The following is a 19,579-nucleotide window of genomic DNA, read 5'->3' as shown; positions in this document are numbered from 1 at the left end:
CTTCCCCTTCACCTTCCACCATGTTTGAAACTTTCCTGAGGCCTCCTCGGAAGCCATCATGCTTCCTGTACAGCCTGTGGAACCATGAGCCAGTCCAACCTTTTTTGTAAATTATCCAGTCTCAGGTATTTCCTTATAGCAGTGGGAGAACGGACTAAAACATAAGGCATTAGTCCCATGCATGAGAGTGGAACCCTCAAGACCTAATCATCTCCTAAAGGCCCCACCTCTTAATACCATTACATTGGCCATTAAGTTTCAACATATGAATCTGGGGAACACATTCAGACCACAGCGTCTTCTAAGGTCAGATAACCATGTGGTTTTTATTAAAACTCACATTGCTTTGCATTTTTCCTTCCCTTCCCTACATCCTCTGCTATTATATCTACCCTAAAAGGTTCAGCCTGCTCCCCCTTTTATTTTTTTGAGATGGAGTTTCGCTCTTCTTGCCCAGGCTGCAGTGCAATGGTGCAATCTCGGCTCCCCACAACCTCCACCTCCCAGGTTCAAGCGATTCTCCTGCCTCAGCCTCCCGAGCAGCTAGGATTATAGGCATGTGCCACCATGCCCGGCTAATTTTGTATTTTTAGTAGAGACAAGTTTTCTACATGTTGGTCAGGATGGTCTCGAACTCCCAACCTCAGGTGATCCACGCACCTTGGCCACCCAAAGTGCTGGGATTACAGGTGTGAGCCACCATGGCCGGCCTACCCTGCTCCCCTACTAAGCTCATGCATGTCTCCCTGCCTTTGCCCATGCTTATTCCCTGTGCTGCCTGCAGTGCCCTTCCTGTTGGTTCTTTCTTTCTTTTTTTTTTAAATATTAAAACTCCTATTCATCCTTCAATGCCTAGGTCAAATGGCACCCCTGTTCGTAGCTTTCCTTCATGCCTCCTTATACTCCTGATAAAAGAATTATTGCTCCTACCACCACCCTAGAGGGCCTGGAAAGGGCCTAAAATGTAAGCACTTACAGATCAAAATGTGGTTACTATCAACTCCTAATTATCCATAGGTTGAGAACTGCTTTTCTGATTATAGAAGTGACAGGCCATTGCAAACCTGGGACCAACCACCTCCCCAAGCAGGCTCACGAGTTAAGCCAAAGAGGAACCCAGACACCTTGTGAGTTGATCTGCTTGACAAGAACCAGGGACCCAGAGCCCCACCCTTCTTGCCTCCTCCTCATCAGTCCTGCAGCCCAAGGCTATGGATTGGCCTCCTCCTGTCAATAAAAGCTTACTGTTGCCTTGGAGCTGAGATTCCAGGGGCAGGATAAACTTAAAAACCAGTTACCATACCCAAACATACACGGTCATCTGCTTATGTCAAAGATAGCATTGCAGTGATCAGTCAATTGAATGTCTATGTGGGGAAAAAACAAAGCTGAATTCCATCTCACACCATTCACAAAAATCAATTCCAGATAGCTTATAGATCCAAATATGAAATGAAAGGTAGGCTGGGCGTGGTGGCTCACGCCTATAATCCCAGCACTTCGGGAGGCCGAGGCGGGCAGATCACCTGAGGTCAGGAGTTCGAGACCAGCCTGAACAATATGGAGAAACCCTGTCTCTACTAAAAATACAAAATTAGCCAGGCATGATGGTGCATGCCTGTAATCTCAGCTACTCGGTAGGCTGAGGCAGGAGAATCTCTTGAACCTGGGAGGTGGAGGTTGCGGTGAGCCGAGCGCCATTGCACTGCAGCCTGGGCAACAAGAGGAAAACTGTCTCAAAAATTAATTAATTAATTAAATAAAATGAAAGGTAAACAATAATGTTTTAGAAGAAACATAGAATAACATCTTCATGATCTCAGAGTAAACTGAGATTTCTTTTTTTTTTTTTTTTTTTTTTTTGAGATGGAGTCTCACTCTGTCGCCCAGGCTGGAGTGTGGTGGCACGATCTCGGCTCACTGCAACCTCCGCGTTCCGGGCTCAAGCGATTCTCCTGCCTCAGTCTCCTGAGTAGCTGGGACTACAGGCATGTGCCATCAGGCCCAGCTAATTTTTTTGTATTTTTAATAGAGACGGTGGTTTCACCGTGTTAGCCAGAATGGTCTCCATCTCCTGACCTCGTGATCCACCCACCTCGACCTCCCAAAGTGCTGGGATTACAGGCGCGAGCCACTGCGCCTGGCCTTAGATTTCTTAAATAGGACAAAAAGGGTGCTAACTACAAGATTAAAAACTAATAAAGTGGGATATATTAAAATTAAGTACTATATCCAAAAACACCATTAAAAGAGTGTAGCAGCAGCCCACAGAACAGGAGAATATATTCACAATATATACACCTGACAAAAGAGTAGTATCCAGAATATATAAAGAATGCCTATAAACCAATAAGAAAAAGAAACTATCCTATTTTTTAAATGGGCAAAAGACTTGAGCAGATACAAAAAAAAAAGAGAATATTCAAATAGCAATAGGCATATGAAGGTACTCTATATTAGTCATCAGGAAAATGCAATTCTTTATTCTAAAGGAGGTGAGAGCCACTGGGCTTTAGCACGGGACAGACGTGTTGAAAAATGGACTAAATGGGGCTGTGTGAGTTTCCCGGAGCTGCTATAACAAATAACCACAATCTGCATGGCTTCAAACAACTGAAATTTACTACTCACTGTTCCAGAGTCCAGCAGTTTAAAATCAAGGTGATTGGCTGGGCACAGTGGCTCAGGCCTGTAATCCCAGCACTTTGGGAGGCTGAGGCAGGCAGATCACTTGAGGTCAGGAGTTCAAGACCAGCCTTGCCAACATGATGAAATCCCATCTCTACCAAAAAATACAAAAATTAGCTGGGCATGGTGGCGAGCACCTGTAATTCCAAATACTCAGGAGGCTGAGGCACAAGTATCACTTGAACCTGGAAGGCGGAGGTTGCATTGAGCTGAGATCACACCCCTGCACTCCAGCCTGGGCGACAGAGTGAGACTCCATCTCAAAATAAATAAATTAATTAATTAAATAAATTAAATAAAATCAAAGTGATGGGCAGGCTCACTCCTCCAGGGGGCTCTGAGGGAGGATTTGCCCATCCTCTCTCCTGGCTTCTGGTGGTTCCCAGCCATTCCTGGTGCTCCTTGGCCTGTATGCACATCACTCACCTCAGCATCCATCTTCTCATGGCTTCCCCTCTGTGGGTCTTCTCCTCTTGTCCTCTGAGAAGGACACTTCTCATTGGATTGAGGGCCTACCTAGGTCATCCAGGAAGTTCTTGTCTCAAGATCCTTAACTCAATTACATCTGCAAAGGCCCTTTTTCCACATAAGGTTACGTTCCTAGGTTGGGGGTAAATGGATCTTTTGGAGACCACCATTCCACCCCCCTCAGGGGGCCAGGGTGGACAGGGGAGGATCACTTAAGAGATGCATGGCAGTGGTGGCCTGGACTGGACAGGAGGAAGCAGAGTCATGGGCAGGTTTGAGAGGTACCAGGAGGTGGAATCCAAGCACTTCACCAGTGTTGACATACACAGAATTGAGGAAGATGGAGATGTTAAGGGTGTCTGTCAGGCATTGGCTTAAGCAACTGGGTGGATCATGATTTTTTAAAAAATCTTTATTTATCCAATTCTATACCACAAAGCTTACCTGTCTCCCCAAACCCAATTGCCCCAGTTCCTTGGGTTACCTCCAGGGCAAACCCAACTTCTTCAAACCAGGTCTGGTTCTCTACAGAACTCCAGGAAACATGAGAAGCCCTTCATGTGATTGCTAAGTAATTGCTTTTCAACTATAAAAGTAATTAAAAAATGGCACCAATTTCCCTAAGTGTATAATATAATTAAATCCACTGGCTTGGAAAATCATTTGTGATAAACCGAAACAGCAAAAGATCAAGCCACTGGGAATTAGGGAAACGTCTGACATGAGGACAGAGAGCTCTCTGGGGCCTTTTCCTGGAGGGGCCTTGGTGGGCGTGGAATGTGGCTGGGAAAGGCAGGGAGAGTGGAGGATGGGAAAACCAGATCCCCAGCTGGCTGGGACTGGATAGGGAAGAGGCGGTGGGAAGCCACCTGCCAGGCCTTGGGCTGTGGGATGGAGCTCAGGGCCCAGGCCAGGCGGGGTAGAAGTGTTGCCGGTGAGGGTCTTGACTGTAAGTTGCCCAGGTTCTTGGCGTTTTGAACAAAGAATTGGACAAAAGCCCAGCAAAGCAAAGAAAGAATGAAGCAACGAAAGAACCAAAGCAGGGATTTATTGAAAACAAAAGTACCCTCCACAGTGTGGGAGGGGCCCAACCAGCGGCTCAAGAGCCCAGATACAGAATCTTCTCAGATCCAAATACCCCCTACAGGTTTCCTATTGGCCCCCTCATGTAAATGAAGTGGTGGCCCGCAATCAGTGTGATTGACTGCAGAAAACAACCAATCAGAGGCTGAAGTGAAGTTACAAAAGTCACACTCCTCTGCAAACACCTGATTGGCTGCAAAAAGCAACCAATCAAAGGTTAAGATGAAGTTACAAAGTTCCACTTCTATGCAAAGGAAGACTCCGCTCTCAATCAGTCTGATTGGTTGCGGACAGCCAATTTCCCATCTGCCTGGAGGAAAAGGGATTTGCAAAAGGAGTAGCCTCTGGTCCTTTTGTTACTTAGGCGTGGAAAGTTAGGGTTTTCTTTTGAGACGGAGTTTTGCTCTTGTCACCCAGGCTGGAGTGCAATGGCAGGACCTCGGCTCACAGAAACCTCCGACTCCTGGGTTCAAGCTGTTCTCCTGCCTCAGCCTCCCAAGTAGCTGGGATTACAGGCACCCACCACCATGCCCAGCTAATTTTTGTATTTTTAGTAGAGACGGGGTTTCGCCATGTTGGCCAGGCTAGTCTGGAACTCCTGACCTCAGGTGACCCACCCTCTTCGGCCTCCCAAAGTGCTGGGATTACAGGCGTGAGCCACCACGCCTGGCCCGGGTTTTTCTTTCAATTTAGTTCTAGGAAGTCGGCCTGAAATTACCTTAGGTTTCCTGCCTCCAGACCCTATTCTCTTGTCTCAGAAGCACTACCCCAGGAGGTCAAAGGCAGCTCAGACTCAGTCAAAAAGGCAGCTAAGGAAGCAGGATGGACGGTGGGGCACAAGGAATGAACAGAATTGGTTGAAATCAGTGTCAAGTTGGGCTGCGAAATTCCGGACAGTTCAGGCAAGCCGTTCAAGACTAAGATTCGGCCAAAAGGTAGGGGTCAATAACCTCTTTTTATTTCTTTATTTAAAATTTTTTTTTGTTTTAGAGACTGGGTCTCACTCTGTGGTACAGGCTGGAGTGTAGTGGTGTGATCATGGCTCACTGCAGCCTCAGACTCCTGGGCTCAAGCAATCCTCCCGCCTCAGCCTCCCGAGTAGCTGGGACTACAGACATGCGCCACCACACCTGGCTAATTTTTTAAAAAATTTCCAGGTCTTGCTTTGTTGCTCTTTTTAAGTGGTTTAGCTGCTAACACAAAGTCTGTTGGCTTAAGGGAGCCAAGGGGTCCAACAGACAGATTTCCAATACACACTGAAACTAGCCCCCTTTTTTGGCTGGGTGTGGCAGAGATAGAACCTGAGTCAGGCACAGAGCGCTGTGTTCAAATCCCAACTCTCCCCCTTGTTATCTTGAGCAAGCTGCTTAACTTCTCTGAGCCTGTTTCCTTTCCCATAAAATAGCAATCATAATTCCTAACAAGCGCATTTTAAGAGCGGAAGTACAGGGTGTACTTTATAAACTGTAAAGGCCGATGCGTGCATCCCCTGGGATTTCTGAGAAGGCCTTTCCCTCCTCACTCCCTAACTCCTCCATCCAGCTAGGACGTCCCCTCTCTCGGATCCTCATTGTCACCTCTCTTTCCACTGGTGCTCTCCCCTAGACATAGGCTCCTGCTTTCTGAATCTCAGTTTCCTCAAATATAAAAAGAAGAAAATTAAACTCCCTCCCTCATGGAGGACTATGAGGATTTAAATACATGAATTAACACAGAGAATGAGGCTGGCACCGAGCTTTGTGGGCCCTCAGGAGTGCTTAGCTATTATTATTATTATTATTATTATTATTATTACTACTACTACTACTAACAGCTTAGAAAATAGTGAGCAAAAGAAGAAAGAAAAATCATCCCTGAAAACTTCCCCCTAGCAGTAACTATTATTAACAATTGGAGAATAACCTTCTTGGCTTTTAAATAAAATGCATGAAGTGAATTTTCAGGAACTCATCATATTGTGCAAACTGTTTGGAGACCTATTTTTGTCATATAACAATATACCGTGAGCAACTTGACATGTTATCATGCTATCTTGTGCATCATCGTTTCAGTGGCTTCCAAATCACCCACAGTATTAGCACACCACTGTTTAATGCAATAGTGATTCCATGGACCATTGCCAAAGCTGGTCTCCAAACCTCCTTTCCAAGCAATTCCCACCCCCCAGGGCCCCATTTCTGGCCCAGGCTTCCTCCTCTTCAGTTCCGCCTACAGATCTCCATCAAGGCAAAATCCAGTACCAAACACATCACTTATCCGCTCAAACACCTTCTATGGCTCCCCAGTGCTTAACAGTTGAAATTGTATCTTCACTGCCTGGCAGCCAAAGCTCTTTACAAACCACTGCTCTAACCCTGCTTAGCTCCTACATCTTCCTTGTTATACTCCACATGCCACCTCAAGGACACTTCTCACTCTTGCTGTTCCCAGCACCTATAAGGAACTTCTTCCCCCATTCCTGTCTCAGTCCTACCCATCTTTCAAATCCCAACCCAAGTTCATTCTCTTCCTCTCAGTTGACCCATTGTACCACTTAGGATCACATTCAACTGGCAAGAAACAAGACCCAGTATCACAGTGACGTTAACACAATACGAGTTCACTCACCCTTGCATAGAAGATGATCAGAAATAGAAGATCTAGGGGCAGGTATGGTAGCTCTTCAGCCATCAGGGACCGAGTCTTTTTCTGGCTTTCCTCTCTTCCATTCCTGGGGTGTACATTCATCCTTGTGGTCTGATATGGTTGCTAGAGCTCCAGACATCATATCCACATTCCTGCTAGAAGGTTTTTGAGGAAAATGGGAGAAGAGTGTATTCGCTCTCTTTCAGAAAGCTTCCCAGAAGTATTACACAAGACTTCTATGTACATCTCATTAGCCAGAAAGTGTTCACTTGGTCACCTTGCTGCAAGAGAGGCTGGGGAACGCAGTAACGTGCCCATTACTAAGAAAGAAGGGAGCGTGGACACGGGAGACATCCCAGCCCTCCACAATGAGATAGAAAAGCTCCTTTTTCCAAGCATAATGTTGAGCTCTTACCCCAGGCAGCAGCAGTGTGTGCTGGAAGACACAGGCTTTGGAGTCAGACAGACCTGGGGTAGATCCTGGCTCAGTTACTGAATTCCAGCTAGATGATTTAGAAAAGTTGCTTAGACTCTCTGAATCTCTGCATCTAAAAAATAGAAAAGGCGGGGTGGGGGGAGCAGTTGTGAGAAGGTAATCGACTAGAATCTGTGTATAGAGAACACAGGAGGGTGCCCAGTACAAGCCTGATGGTCATGAACTGTCATCCCCATCAGCATTGTGTCATCTATATCCATGTATTCTATATTCTACAACACTGTGTTATTTAAATTCTTTCATTATAATAATATTTTTATTTTATTTTATTTTAAAGACAAGATCTTGCTCTGTCACCCAGGCTGAATTGCAGTGGTGTGATCATGGTTCAGTGCAGCCTCAAACTTCTGGGCTCAAGTGATCCTCAAGACTTAGCCTCCTGAGTAGCTGAGGGAAGTCCAGGCACCTGGCATGTAGTCAGGGCTGTCAGTAATATTTGCTGCATTAAATGGAATCACATTGTCCTGACCCTTCTCCTGGGCTTGGTCTTACCCTGCCTTCGCCATTGGGATACTGTGCATAATGTGGTCTCAGCAGGTTTGGGATGGGGCCTGGAAACCTACATTTTTCATCTCTCCAGTATTGTAAATCTCTCTTTCAGAAGGCTTCCCAGGAGTACTACACAAGACTTCTGTGTAGGCCGGGCACAGTGGCTCATGCCTATAATCCCAGCACTTTGGGAGGCCAAGGCAGGGGGATCACTTGGGGTCGGGAGTTCGAGACTAGCCTGGCCAACATGGTGAAACCCTGTCTTTACTAAAAATACAAAATTAGCCAGGCATGTTGGGGCATGCCTGTAGTCCCAGCTACTTGGGAGGCTGAGGCATGAGAATCGCTTGAACCCGGGAGGTGGAGGCTACAGTGAGCTGAGATCGTGCCATTGCATTCCAGCCTACCAAGAACAAACAAACAAACAAACAAAAAAACTTCTGTCTATCACTGTAGCCTCAACCTCCTGGGCTCAAGCAATCCTCCTACTTCAGCCTCTCAAATAGCTGGAACTACAGGCACGCACCACCATGTCCAGCTAATTTTTTTTTTTTTTTTGTAGAGACAGGGTCTTGCCACATTGCTCAGGCTGGTCTTGAACACTTGAGCTCAAGTTATCCACCTGTTTTGGGTGCTAGGATTACAGGCATAAGTCACTAAGCCCAGTCCATTATCACTTTTTTTTTTTTTTTTTTTTTGAGACAGTCTCGCCGTGTTGCCCAGGCTCCAGTGCAGTGGCGTGATCTCGGCTCACTGCAATCTCTGCCTCTTGGGTTCAAGAGATTCTCCTGCCTCAGCTTCCCGAGTAGCTAGGATTACAGGCACACACCACCACACCTGGCTAATTTTTGTATTTTTCGTAGAGATAAGGTTTCACTACATTGGCCAGGTTGATCTTGAATTCCTGACCTCAAGTGATCCACCCGCCTCAAAGTGTTAGGATTACACAGCCTCCCAAAGTGTTAGGATTACAGGCCTGAGCCACTGTGCCCAGTCTCATTATCACTTCTTTACAAATGGAAGAAGCTGAGTTTCAAAGCTCCTTCTTCCTCTGACTGTATAAGCTCTTAATACAGTGCTGAGCACACAACAAGTACTTGGTCAATGTTAGCCCTTATTCAATGGTTGTTATATTTGCTCTACATACTGTTGCTAAGTAACAAATGAACCCTAAAATGTAGTGGCATTGCACAGCCATTTTATAACATTCATGATTCTCTGGGTCAGGAATTTGGGCAGAGACAGTTTGTCTTTGTTCCCCAACATCTGGCACACAGGAGACTCAATTTGTTGGGGATGACTCAGGGGTGGGAGCCATTCTGAGGTGTCTTCATTCCCATGCTGGCAATTGATGCTGCCTTTCAGCTGGGACCTCAGCTGGTCTCTTGGTTAGAACACGAGCTCTCTCCATGTGGGCTAGATTGGGCTTCCTGACAGCATGGCAGCTGGGTTCCAAGAGAGACTCAAGAGAGTAAGGTAGATATGCATAGCATTTTATAATCTAATGAGCTTTTCTTGGAAGTTCCATAGTGTCACTTCTGCCATAGTCGCAAGCCTGCCCAGGTTCAAAGGGAGGGAATACAGGCACCCCCACCACTCAGTGGGAGGAGTGTCAAAGTCACGTTATAAGAAGAACATGTGGAATGGGAGATATTGTCACAGCCATCTTTAGAAAATATTATCTGTATAATAATAAGTGATAGTAGTTGTCATCATCACTGTCATGATCTGTGATCCCCCAGGCCACTACAACTCAGTTCTTTGGAGTCAGACAAATCTCAGATCTCTTACTTCCCAGCCATGTGGTCGTGAATGAGACCCTTCTTGTCTCTTCCCCTAGGCTGTAAATTTAGAACATGGGAGTGAGACTTCTTCTCTTCCAGAACTATTATGAGTCTTAAAGAGAAAGAAAGTGTAGAAAGTTCCTAGGACCTGGTGCAGGCTCACTACGTGGGTTTTCTTCTCAGTCCTGCCTCCCAGGCCCGAGTTAGAGCCAGTCCTGCCCACGGACATTTTTGCAGCTCTGTGAGGCTTTTGGTCAGGGTCAGGGACAATGGGCGCCAGACCAACAATGTGTGTCCAGACCACCTTTAAAGGGCTGTCGTGGACTTTTTAAATTTCAGCTTTCTGGAGGACCGTCCTTTGAAGTTACCCGCAGTGGCCTGAATCTCTTTGGGAGTGCATTTCAACTTTCCCCTAAGAGTCCAGTGAGATATTTCGTTGGTGATAGGGCCGGAAAGATCCACAGGAGAGCCATGCAATATCTTTCTTCCCAAATTTCCCAGTCCTCGAAGGAAAGGCCATGTTTGGTTTGAAAACAGAGCTGCTTTATCACCAACCAGGGCCCTGGATGAAATCTTTCCCCCTAAAGCTGAATAAACAGCTCCAGGCTCAGCTCACACCCTGCTCTTAGCTCCTGAAACTCACTTATCTAGGTCCTGCCTACTCCCCAGCACCCCTACACATACCCCAGGCCTGCCCAGACACCTTCTTCTTTGAGGCGTACCCTGAACCCCAGAATGACCTCATAGTGCTGTGAGACCTGTGTTCAGCTCTGTCTCTTCCTTGTAGGATGAAAAAGAGGCAGCTGGATTCAAGTCTTCTCCAACTCTGAGCCCCAGTCTCCTCCTCTGCAAAACGGGGATGATATTGCCTGCCTCGCCAAACTGTGCCAGGGCAGAATGATACTATTTTACTGGAATGTGCTGGCATAGAAGGTGCTCAGGGAACTCTGGCTCAGCTGAGGAGTGGGATCCAGAGTGAGGCTTGGACCCATGCCCACCAACATTACTACTTATGTGCTGGGTGATCTTGGGCAAGTTTTAACCTCTTTGAAGCTCAGTTTCTTCCACTTGTAAAGAAGTGATAATGGGCTGGGCGTGGTGGCTCACACCTTTAATCCCAGCACTTGGGGAGGTGGAAAGAGGCGGATTCCTTGAGCCCAAGAGTTCAAGACCAGCCTGAGCAACATGGCGAGACCCTGTCTCTACAAAAAAAAAAAAAAAAAAAAAAATACAAAAATTAGCTGAACATGGTGGTGCATGCCGGTAGTCCCAGCTATTTGAGAGGCTGAGGTGGGAGGATCGCTTGAGCCCAGGAGGTTGAGGCTGCAGTGAGCCTTGATTGTTGCATTGCACTCCAGCGTGGGCAACAGAGCAAGACCCCATCTCAAAAAAAAAAAAAAAAAGATTGCTGATGAAATTAATATAGCACTTCAGGACTGTGTCTGACACATGTCACTCAATAAATGGTAGTCATTTAAAAATTATTACTATTATGATTAATTCAGTACATTCCTCTAGGGCAAGAACCAGGTCTTATGTTTATTCCAAACATTTCACATACACACAATAAAGTTACTCAGTGTGTTTATAGAGAGAATCCTCTATATTTTTTAGTTTATTTATTTATGTATTTATTTTTGAGACAGGGTCTGGCTCTGTCGCCCAGGTTGGAGTGAAGTGGCATAATCTCAGCTCACTGCAACCTCTGCCTCCTGGGCTCAAGTGATCCTCCTACCTCAGCCTCCCAAGTAGCTGGGACCACAGGCATACACCACCATGCCTAGCTAATATTTTTGTATTTTTTGTAGAGGCAGCATTTTTCCATGTTGCCCAGGCTGGTCTCAAACTCCTGGGCTCAAGCAATCTGCCTGCCTTGGCCTCCCAAAATACTGGGATTATAGGCATGAGCCACCATGCCCAACCCATTTCTATTTTTTAAATTGATGTTTTGATTGAGATTATTGTGGATTCATGTGAAGTTGTAAGAAATAATACAGAAAGACTCCTTATGCACTTTGCTCACCCATGTAACATTTTCAAAACCATAGCATAATATCACAATCAGGATATTGGCATTGATTTAATCTACCAATCTTATTCATACTTTCCCAATATTACTTGTATTAGTGTCTGTGTATTAAATTCTACACAATTTCATCAGGATAGATTTGTGTATTTACCACCACAGTCAAGATACTGAATAGATCTAACACAATCCCCCCCATCCCCCACCCCATAGAAATCCTATTTATTTAAAGCTAGAGACCAGGCGTGGTGACTCATGCCTGTAATCCCAGCACTTTGGGAGGCTGAGGCAGGCAGATCACCTGAGGTCAGGAGTCCGAGACCAGCCTGGCCAACATGGTGAAACCCCAACTCTACTGAAAATACAAAAATTAGCCAGGCGTGGTGGTGCACGCCTGTAGTCCCAGCAACTCTGGAGGCTGGGGCAGGAGAATCGCTTGAACCTGGGAGACAGAGGTTGCAGTGGGCTGAGATTGTGCCACTGCACTCAAGCCTGGGTGATAGAGCAATGCAAAAAGTAGAGTTTCCTCTTCAAAGGCTTTCCTCCCCATCGAATTAAGAATAAATAGTAACTTCTCTCAGAAGCAAAATTTATTCAAAGACCTGTGCTAACATTCTTAAATATCTGCTAGCCGTAATAAAGAAATCAATGTACTTTATGTTCTTGGCTCCCACAATTTAGCCTAAATATTTGCCCTGGCATGCTTATACTGGTCCAAGCAAGCATTAGGTCATAGCATGTTCCTCTTCCTCATTTGAAGGTTTTTACCTTTCTCAACATTGCACAAAACAATCAGGACAAATACAGAATGTGAAGCCCGGTTCCAGCCAATGGAAACTGGACACAGCAGTAAGGTGGACACGTCAGGTTATAAATGACCCTGTCTCCTTTGTTCGGTGCACTCTCGTGGCAAAACTGCTGACGAGTGTACCCTTTCTACAGAAAGTAAAAAAAGGAAAAAAAGGCCTTGCTGAGGAAATTAAACTTATGTTCAAGTGCTATTTCTTTATGGCACCTAGGAACAAGCATTTCTAACAGTAAGACTCTGTCTCAAAAAAAAAAAAGAAAGACAAAAAAAAAAAATATTTAAAGCTAGAAATGCCCCTAGTTGGATTTTGTGAGTCAACAGATCATAAAGATTAAGAAAAGGCTCAGCATCTGCTGATCTGGGTTCAAATCCCAGCTACACAACTCACAGCGTGCGAACCTGGCAGGGCCTCTAAGATCTCAGTTTCCTCATCTGTGAAATGGGGAAACAACAGCACCAGCATTCAACAAAGCATTCCATAAATGCAAGCTGTTAGCCCAGCGTGGAGACCGATATTCTGGAAGTTGGTAATGAAGAAACTGAGGCCCCAGAGGCACAGACACTGGCCCAAGTTTGCACACGAAGCTGGGGACACAGCTGAGATGGGAGCCCAGACAGACGGGTTACAGCAAGATTCCTGACCAACCACGCAGGCGGGCCGCGCAGTCCAGCAGCCAAGAGAACAGGCTCTAGAGGCCACCTGCCTGGGTGAGTATCCCGAATATTAACTGAGACAAGCTACCTCAGTTTCCCCCATGGCTCAGTTGCCTCATCTGCAATGTGAGGATGACAATCAAGCTGTGGTATGGATTTGATGACATAATACAGGTCAAGTAATTAATTATCAGATGAAGAGCACAGTGTGTGGTTATTATTCATATTAAGCCAGTTTCTATAACTACTTGTCTTCACTAATTTTTTTTTTAAATTAAAATTATTGTAAGGGACTCTCTGGGCTAGGATGGCAAGGGGCAGACACGTCCAACAACGTGAGAATGTTATGGCAGAATCTGAGTATATTCCCTTAGAACCATAATAAACAATCAAACTAAAGGAGACCTCAGACAACCCATCTGGCCCAATCCTGTGTTTCCAGGCAAGCGCAGCGCCTGATTCCTCCACACAGAATTTCCTTCTTTTTGTGGCTGGATTAACTCTTGAATACCAAAAACTTCTGATCCTGTACTTGGAGCCTGTTGTTAAAATGTCATTTCCAAACAAACATAGGTTACAATCTTTTCTTCTCTCTCTCTCTTTTTTTCCTTTCCCCAAGATCAAAGAAGGCATTTGGGCCTTTAAGATAACATTCATTTGGAAAGAGATGGTAATATATAAGATTAATGAAAATTAACATAATCCCTCTGAGTAGAAGAGAGCCTTTGTTCAATCGCTTGTCCTGCTGTTAATTATGCGTTAGGTGGTGATAAATGCTTTAAATCAAACGATGCTGTGAAAACCATTTAAATGATTTTCACCTAATTAGGTTCCTTGCCCTGTTCTGAGCCAGGGATCCCTCCCCAGCGCACCCGCCTCCTTTTGATATGTAATGTACCAGGGGGAATCAGGGAACCCTGAGCTGGAGAAGGAACCTTTTCTGGCTTCTCTGGCTCTGACCAACCACCGTGGGCCCACTGTTGCGATTTATTTTTTCTGAGCGGCTTTGCAGATCTGAGATCAAAAGAAAATTTATCAGTTTCTGTCTCCCTTCAGCCCATTCCAGCCAGACTTTGTGACAAGACCCTATCAGACTTAAAGTTGAGAAGGCCCCAGCACGGAGAACAGAGAGAGAGAGCGAGAGAAGGTCCCAGTGAACTGTCACTGTCAGATTCGGCAGCGGAAATTGCTGCGTGGCACCCAGCCGGCCTTTGAAGGGGGCTGGGGCTGGCAGCCGCTGGACCGGGGTGGGGGAGAGCTAGTTTGTGCAACTCAAAGAGCCGGGGGTCACAGATCCATAAAGGCCCCCCAACTCTGTCGCTCCCTCTGAAGTTGAAATACCATCTGCGCGCCTGAAAGAAACTGGTTAAAGGTGAACTGGCTACTCTGGAGGGGAGGGAAGGGGTGGAGGAGTGAGAAACAGGCAAACATCCCAGACAGCTCCCAGGTCCTCAACAGGAGGTGTCCTGGGCTGAGAACTCTGGCCACCACAGTGAAAGTTTGGGGAGCAAATGAACGCCTCCTCCTGGGAGGCTCCGGGATTGAAATTCAGCACGTTCTAACTCGTGTCTTTCTTGCAGCAAAATGCGCACATCAGAAAATTCATTTGGAGGCAAATCAGCCACCACTATGGACTGGCCCTTAGTAGCCAGGTGGCACTGGATAAGGTGCTCAAGCTTCCTGGGCCTTGCTTTCCTCTCGGGAAACCTGTAAAGCGCCGCAGGCCCCATGGCCCCACACACCGATATGATTCCCAGATTCCGCGAGGAATCCCAGCCAACACCCCATGTCTGCATCACCTCAGTAGATTCCTGGTATCTTTCTGTTTCCAGCAGGCTGAAAAATCACAAGGGCAGCCTCTCTCGCTGTGTTTTAACCTCTCGCCATCCCCTTTGAAGCCCAAAGATACAAAAGGGAAAAGGAAACAAAAATTCCTACAATAGACACCCCTTCTGGCTTAAAAAAGAGCCAGTTCACTTGTGAAGTTGGGATCACCAGAGTTTCTTCTCTCCTTTTATCCCAAACAATTTGTCTGTTTACAATGGAGAGCTTTTCAGATCCCCCTGAAGTTGCAATGATTCGAACATTTTTGGAACGTGTCTGTTGATTTATGATCCCACGAACTGATTTTGAATTAATTCCTTTTTCTAAAGGACAGTTGGTTTCCCATTAAGGGGCAGACCCTGAATGCCATGCCTCTGCCCTCGTGCTAAATGAACTTTTTAGAGGTTCCAGATGATGCCTGGCATCGGACAGAGGCCAGCCAGCCAGAGAGGTCACTTAGCTGGGATGAGTTCCCCGGACCATCCCCCATGTCACTGTGGCAGGAAGCGGTGCCCTCTGGAGTGAGGCATTTCAGAAATGCCTTTGAGACCTCAGGCCAGGCCGAGCTGGCCTCTGGGGCCCTCAGCAGGAGCAAATGGGAGAAAGGTCAGTCCCAGCGCCCTCAAAGCCCCGAGGCCCCGCTGCTGTGCCCCGCTTGCCTGACTCCACCCTCCGAGCCCCACAGGCTCCCTGCTTCACAGGGAAGCACTTGGCCTTCCCAGGAGCCCTTCATCATTCTTATTCCCCCACACTTTATAATATATACACAACATAAAACTTACCATTTTACCCTATTATTATTATTATTATTATTATTATTTTTTTTTTTTTGAGACGGAGTCTCGCTCTGTCGCTCAGGCTGGAGTGAAGTGGCGCTATCTCGGCTCACTGCAAGCTCCGCCTCCCGGGTTCACGCCATTCTCCTGCCTCAGCCTCCCGAGTAGCTGGGATTACAGGTGCGCGCCACCACGCCCGGCTAATTTTGTGTATTTTTAGTAGAGACGGGGTTTCACCATGTTAGCCAGGATGGTCTCGATCTCCTGACCTCGTGATCCGCCCACCTCGGCCTCCCAAAGTGCTGGGATTACAGGCGTGAGCCACTGCGCCCGGCCCATTTTTATTTTTATTTATAGAAATGGGGTACCATCTTGCCCAGGCTGGTCTCAAACTCCTAGGCTCAAATGATCCTCCCAGCTTAGCCTCCCAAAGTGCTGAGATTACAGGCATGAGCCACAAGCTTGGCCGATTTTCCCCATTTTCAAATGTGCCACTCAGCGGCATTAAACACATTCACATGGTCTCGGAACCGTCACCACCATCCATCTCCAGGGCTTTTTCATCTTCCCAGACTGAAACTCTGTTCCCATTAAACACTAACATTCCCATCTTCACCCCACAAGCCCCTGGCACCCACCATTCTCCTTCCTGTTGCTGTGAATGGACTACTTTAACTACCTCATACAGTATTTGTCCTGGCTTATTTTATTTACCATAATGTCCTCAAGGTTTAACCAGGTTGTAGGATGTGTTAGAATTTCATTCCTTTTCAAAGCTGAATACTCTTCTATCGTAGGTACAGACCACATTTGCTTATCCACTCAGCTGTCATGGACACTGGGTTGCATCCACCTTTTGGTGGAAATTAATGTTAGTGTGAAGAATGCTGCTATGAACAGGGTTGTACAAATATCTGTTTGAGTCCCTGTTTTCAATTCTTTTGGGGATACACCCAGAAGTGGAATTGCTGATCCTATGGTGATACGGTTTTGCTGTGTCTCCACCCAAATCTCATCTTGAATTGTACCTCCCATAATTCCCTCATTTGTGGGAGGGACCCAGTGGGGGAGAATTGAATCATGGGAGTGATTTCCCCCATACTGTTCTCGTGGTAGTGAATAAGCCTCCTGAGATCTGATGGTTTTATAAGGGGAAACCCCTTTTACTTGGCTGTCATTCTCTTCTCTTGTCTGCCGCCATGTGAGACATACCTTTTGCCTTCTGCCATGATTGTGAGGCACCCCCAGCCATGTGGAACTGTGAGTCCATTACACCTCTTTCTTTTGTAAATTGTGCAGTCTCGGGTATGTCTTTATGAGCAGCATGAAAATGAACTAATACATATGGTAATTCTATGTTTAATTTTTTAAGTACCTGCCATTCTGTTTTCCACAGTGACTGCACAATTTTACATTCCCACAGCAATGTACCAGGGTTCCAGTTTCTCCACATCCTCACCAACACTTGCTTTCTGTTTTTTTGTTTTTTAATAATATCCATCCTAATGGGTGTGACATAATATCTCATTCTAATTTTAACTTGCATTTTCCTGATGAGCAGTGATGTTGAACATCTTTTCATGTACTTTGCCATTTGTATATCTTCTTTGGAGAAATGTCTATTCAAGTCTTTTGCCCCACCTTTTTTTTTTTTTGGTAGAGACAGGGTTTTTACTATGTTGCCCAATCTAGCAATTCTCCTGCCTCAGCCTGAGTATCTGAGACTACAGGCATCTGCCATCACACTCAGCTCATTTTTGTATTTTTAGTAGAGACAGGGTTTCACCATGTTGGCCAGGCTGGTCTCGAACTCCTGACCTCAAGTGATCCCCTGCCTTGGCCTCCCAAAGTGCTGGGCTTACAGGCGTCAGCCACAGCTCCCAGCCTAGATATTTTTCATTATGAAGACCTTTAACCTAAAGTATTTCACAATTATTCACCTGATATAAATTATTTCCATGTTTATATTGAGAACATGTATGACAAAAACAGCGAGGTTTTAAAATAAGTGTGCCTCTATTTGGTACCTATAGCATCTACACTCCCTCCATCTACCACAGTGCTGGTTTATAGGGGAATGCTAAGACTCAGAATAATTATGCAGTCCCCTCACCCCTACTGGGATCCACAGGCCACAGATGGGGAACAACCACATATTTATCAAGGGGAAAATTAAGTCTCAACAGTGGAAAAGGAATTGCCCCGAGACTCTGGCAATAGTAAGTCCCGAAATACCAACTGCAAAACTCCTGCCCTACTGTCTCCATGAGATGGCTAGCTTTGTTGGACTCTTGTCCAGACGTGAGATTTGAAAAATTGGGTGAATGTGGCACAGACAAGCCTTGAGGCCCACCACTCATTTCTCCTTCCTGGGCACATCCTGGCCAGCGTTTCCCAGCCTCCTGTGCAGTTAGACTGGAGACCATAGCACTGAGTTATGGCCAAAGGAATATGGCAGAGGGGTGAAAGCCACTCAGCTGTGGTGGTCTTTAAAAAGCATCCTGGCTGATCCTCACTTTCCCTGCACCTTCCAAAGTGACCTTGGCAGCCATGTGTTTAGGACAATGATGACAATGATGTCCCAAGATGGAAGAAGCCTGGACCCCCAAGTCACCACTTGCAGGAGAGCACTGACGTGTGACACAAACGAGGAATATACTTTCGGTGTGTCAAGTCCCTGAGATGTCTGTTAATTTGTCACCTTGGCATGGCCTAGCCTCCCCTGACTAATGCAACTACTCCACAAATGAGTCACGTCTGCTAAGAAGGAGCCTCACCTGCCGGCAGGGTTCAGACTCCCAGCCCAGTGCTCTTTGCAGCACACAACCTCTTTCAGTGTTATCCAGTTTTTTCAATGGAATGTGGAGACAGGTGACACCTTCCCCTGTCCTCAAGCACCTCATAGTCTAATGGGGGAGGCTGACAAAGCAAAGGTTTGGGCACAGGGACACAGGTGAACTGAAAGTCAGAGTCATGGCCACATGTGGGACAGGCAAGTTATAAGTGACAAACCAAAAGGAGAAAAAAACAGCCCAAATACTTGGGTTTTGGAGTCACACAAATCTGTGTTCAGTTCCTCCCTTGGCCACCTGAACAACTCACATCAGGTCCCAGGCCTCAGTTTCCTCATCTGTAAAACAGGAAAATAATAATTACTAATAATACATACATCCATCACTCTCTGTTTGCCGGAAGAGCTGAAGGAGATGTATAAAGCTCTGTAAGTTCTATAGTTCTGCATGCCACCTTTGTAATTTTATGTCTCAACTATCTCCCAGCTTAGAGTGCAGGAACCAGGCCAAGCGTTAAGGAGCAAGAGATGGATTTTCCCTGAGGAATGAAGAGAACAAACTGTGCTCCATTGGTTTCCTTTCTTTTTCTTTCTTTTTCTTTTTCTTTTTTTTTTTTTTTTTTTGAGACAGAGTCTCACTCTGTCACCCAGGCTGGAGTGCAATGGCGTGATCTCGGCTCACTGCAACTTCCTCCTCCTGGGTTTAAGCAATTCTCCTGCCGCAGCCTCCCGAGTAGCTGGGATTACAGGCGCCTGCCACCACGCCCAGCTAATTTTTGTATTTTTAGTAGAGAGAGGGTTTCACCATGTTGGCCAGGCTGTTCTCGAACTCCTGACCTTAGGTGATCCACCTACCTTGGCCTCCCAAAGTTCAAGGATTACAGGCGTGAGCCACTGTGCCCAGTCTCCATCAGTTTTTCAAAAGTAGATGTGGTGATCTCCATTTTATACATAAAGGAACTCTGGCTCAGAAAGGTCCACTCAGCCGAGTGACAGTTGATAAAGGAAGGAGCAGAGATTCAAACCTGACGCTCCTGCTTCCAGCTCAAGGCGTTTCTGCCAGTTGC

At 46.1% G+C, this 19,579-nt stretch overlaps 1 protein-coding gene and 1 long non-coding RNA gene across 9 annotated transcripts in view, besides 3 other annotated features; both read right to left on the bottom strand.

Annotated features, from left to right (window-relative positions):
• LOC124900165 (uncharacterized) overlaps window positions 1–19,579 on the bottom strand; it is a 230,445-nt gene that overhangs the window by 116,187 nt on the left and 94,679 nt on the right. For 4 of the 8 annotated variants that reach the window (XM_047416488.1, XM_047416487.1, XM_047416491.1 and 1 more), the window contains 2 exons: window positions 7,280–7,412; window positions 6,847–7,019 (listed from right to left, as the gene is read on the bottom strand). The exons of 1 other annotated variant lie outside the window; for it this stretch is intronic. The gene's annotated coding sequence lies outside the window, so the exon portion shown is untranslated. The remainder of the gene's footprint in view (window positions 1–6,846; window positions 7,020–7,279; window positions 7,413–19,579) is intronic. 3 more of the 8 variants (XM_047416490.1, XM_047416489.1, XM_047416486.1) reach the window with 1 other exon arrangement.
• The window catches only part of STX18-AS1 (STX18 antisense RNA 1 (head to head)), a 168,808-nt gene that overhangs the window by 54,550 nt on the left and 94,679 nt on the right, over window positions 1–19,579 (bottom strand). The window contains exons 3-4 of the long non-coding RNA NR_037888.1: window positions 7,280–7,412; window positions 6,847–7,016 (exon numbers count right to left, since the gene is read on the bottom strand). This is a non-coding gene — a long non-coding RNA (STX18 antisense RNA 1 (head to head)). The remainder of the gene's footprint in view (window positions 1–6,846; window positions 7,017–7,279; window positions 7,413–19,579) is intronic.
• Window positions 4,419–5,316: an enhancer, noted in NCBI's record as "H3K4me1 hESC enhancer chr4:4652800-4653697 (GRCh37/hg19 assembly coordinates)". NCBI's record gives its function as "activates a minimal SCP1, AML or CMV promoter by ChIP-STARR-seq in primed H9 embryonic stem cells {active_cell/tissue: H9 hESC(primed)}" and the evidence as "EXISTENCE:reporter gene assay evidence [ECO:0000049][PMID:30033119]".
• Window positions 13,488–14,405: an enhancer, noted in NCBI's record as "NANOG-H3K27ac-H3K4me1 hESC enhancer chr4:4643711-4644628 (GRCh37/hg19 assembly coordinates)". NCBI's record gives its function as "activates a minimal SCP1, AML or CMV promoter by ChIP-STARR-seq in naive H9 embryonic stem cells {active_cell/tissue: H9 hESC(naive)}" and the evidence as "EXISTENCE:reporter gene assay evidence [ECO:0000049][PMID:30033119]".
• Window positions 15,324–16,243: an enhancer, noted in NCBI's record as "NANOG-H3K4me1 hESC enhancer chr4:4641873-4642792 (GRCh37/hg19 assembly coordinates)". NCBI's record gives its function as "activates a minimal SCP1, AML or CMV promoter by ChIP-STARR-seq in naive H9 embryonic stem cells {active_cell/tissue: H9 hESC(naive)}" and the evidence as "EXISTENCE:reporter gene assay evidence [ECO:0000049][PMID:30033119]".

Source organism: Homo sapiens, chromosome 4 (genome assembly GCF_000001405.40).
Source record: "Homo sapiens chromosome 4, GRCh38.p14 Primary Assembly".
In the NCBI taxonomy this organism is placed as follows: Eukaryota; Metazoa; Chordata; class Mammalia; order Primates; family Hominidae; genus Homo; species Homo sapiens.
The sequence above is the reverse complement of the archived record's forward strand: the minus strand, read 5'-3'. Positions and strand labels throughout refer to the sequence as shown.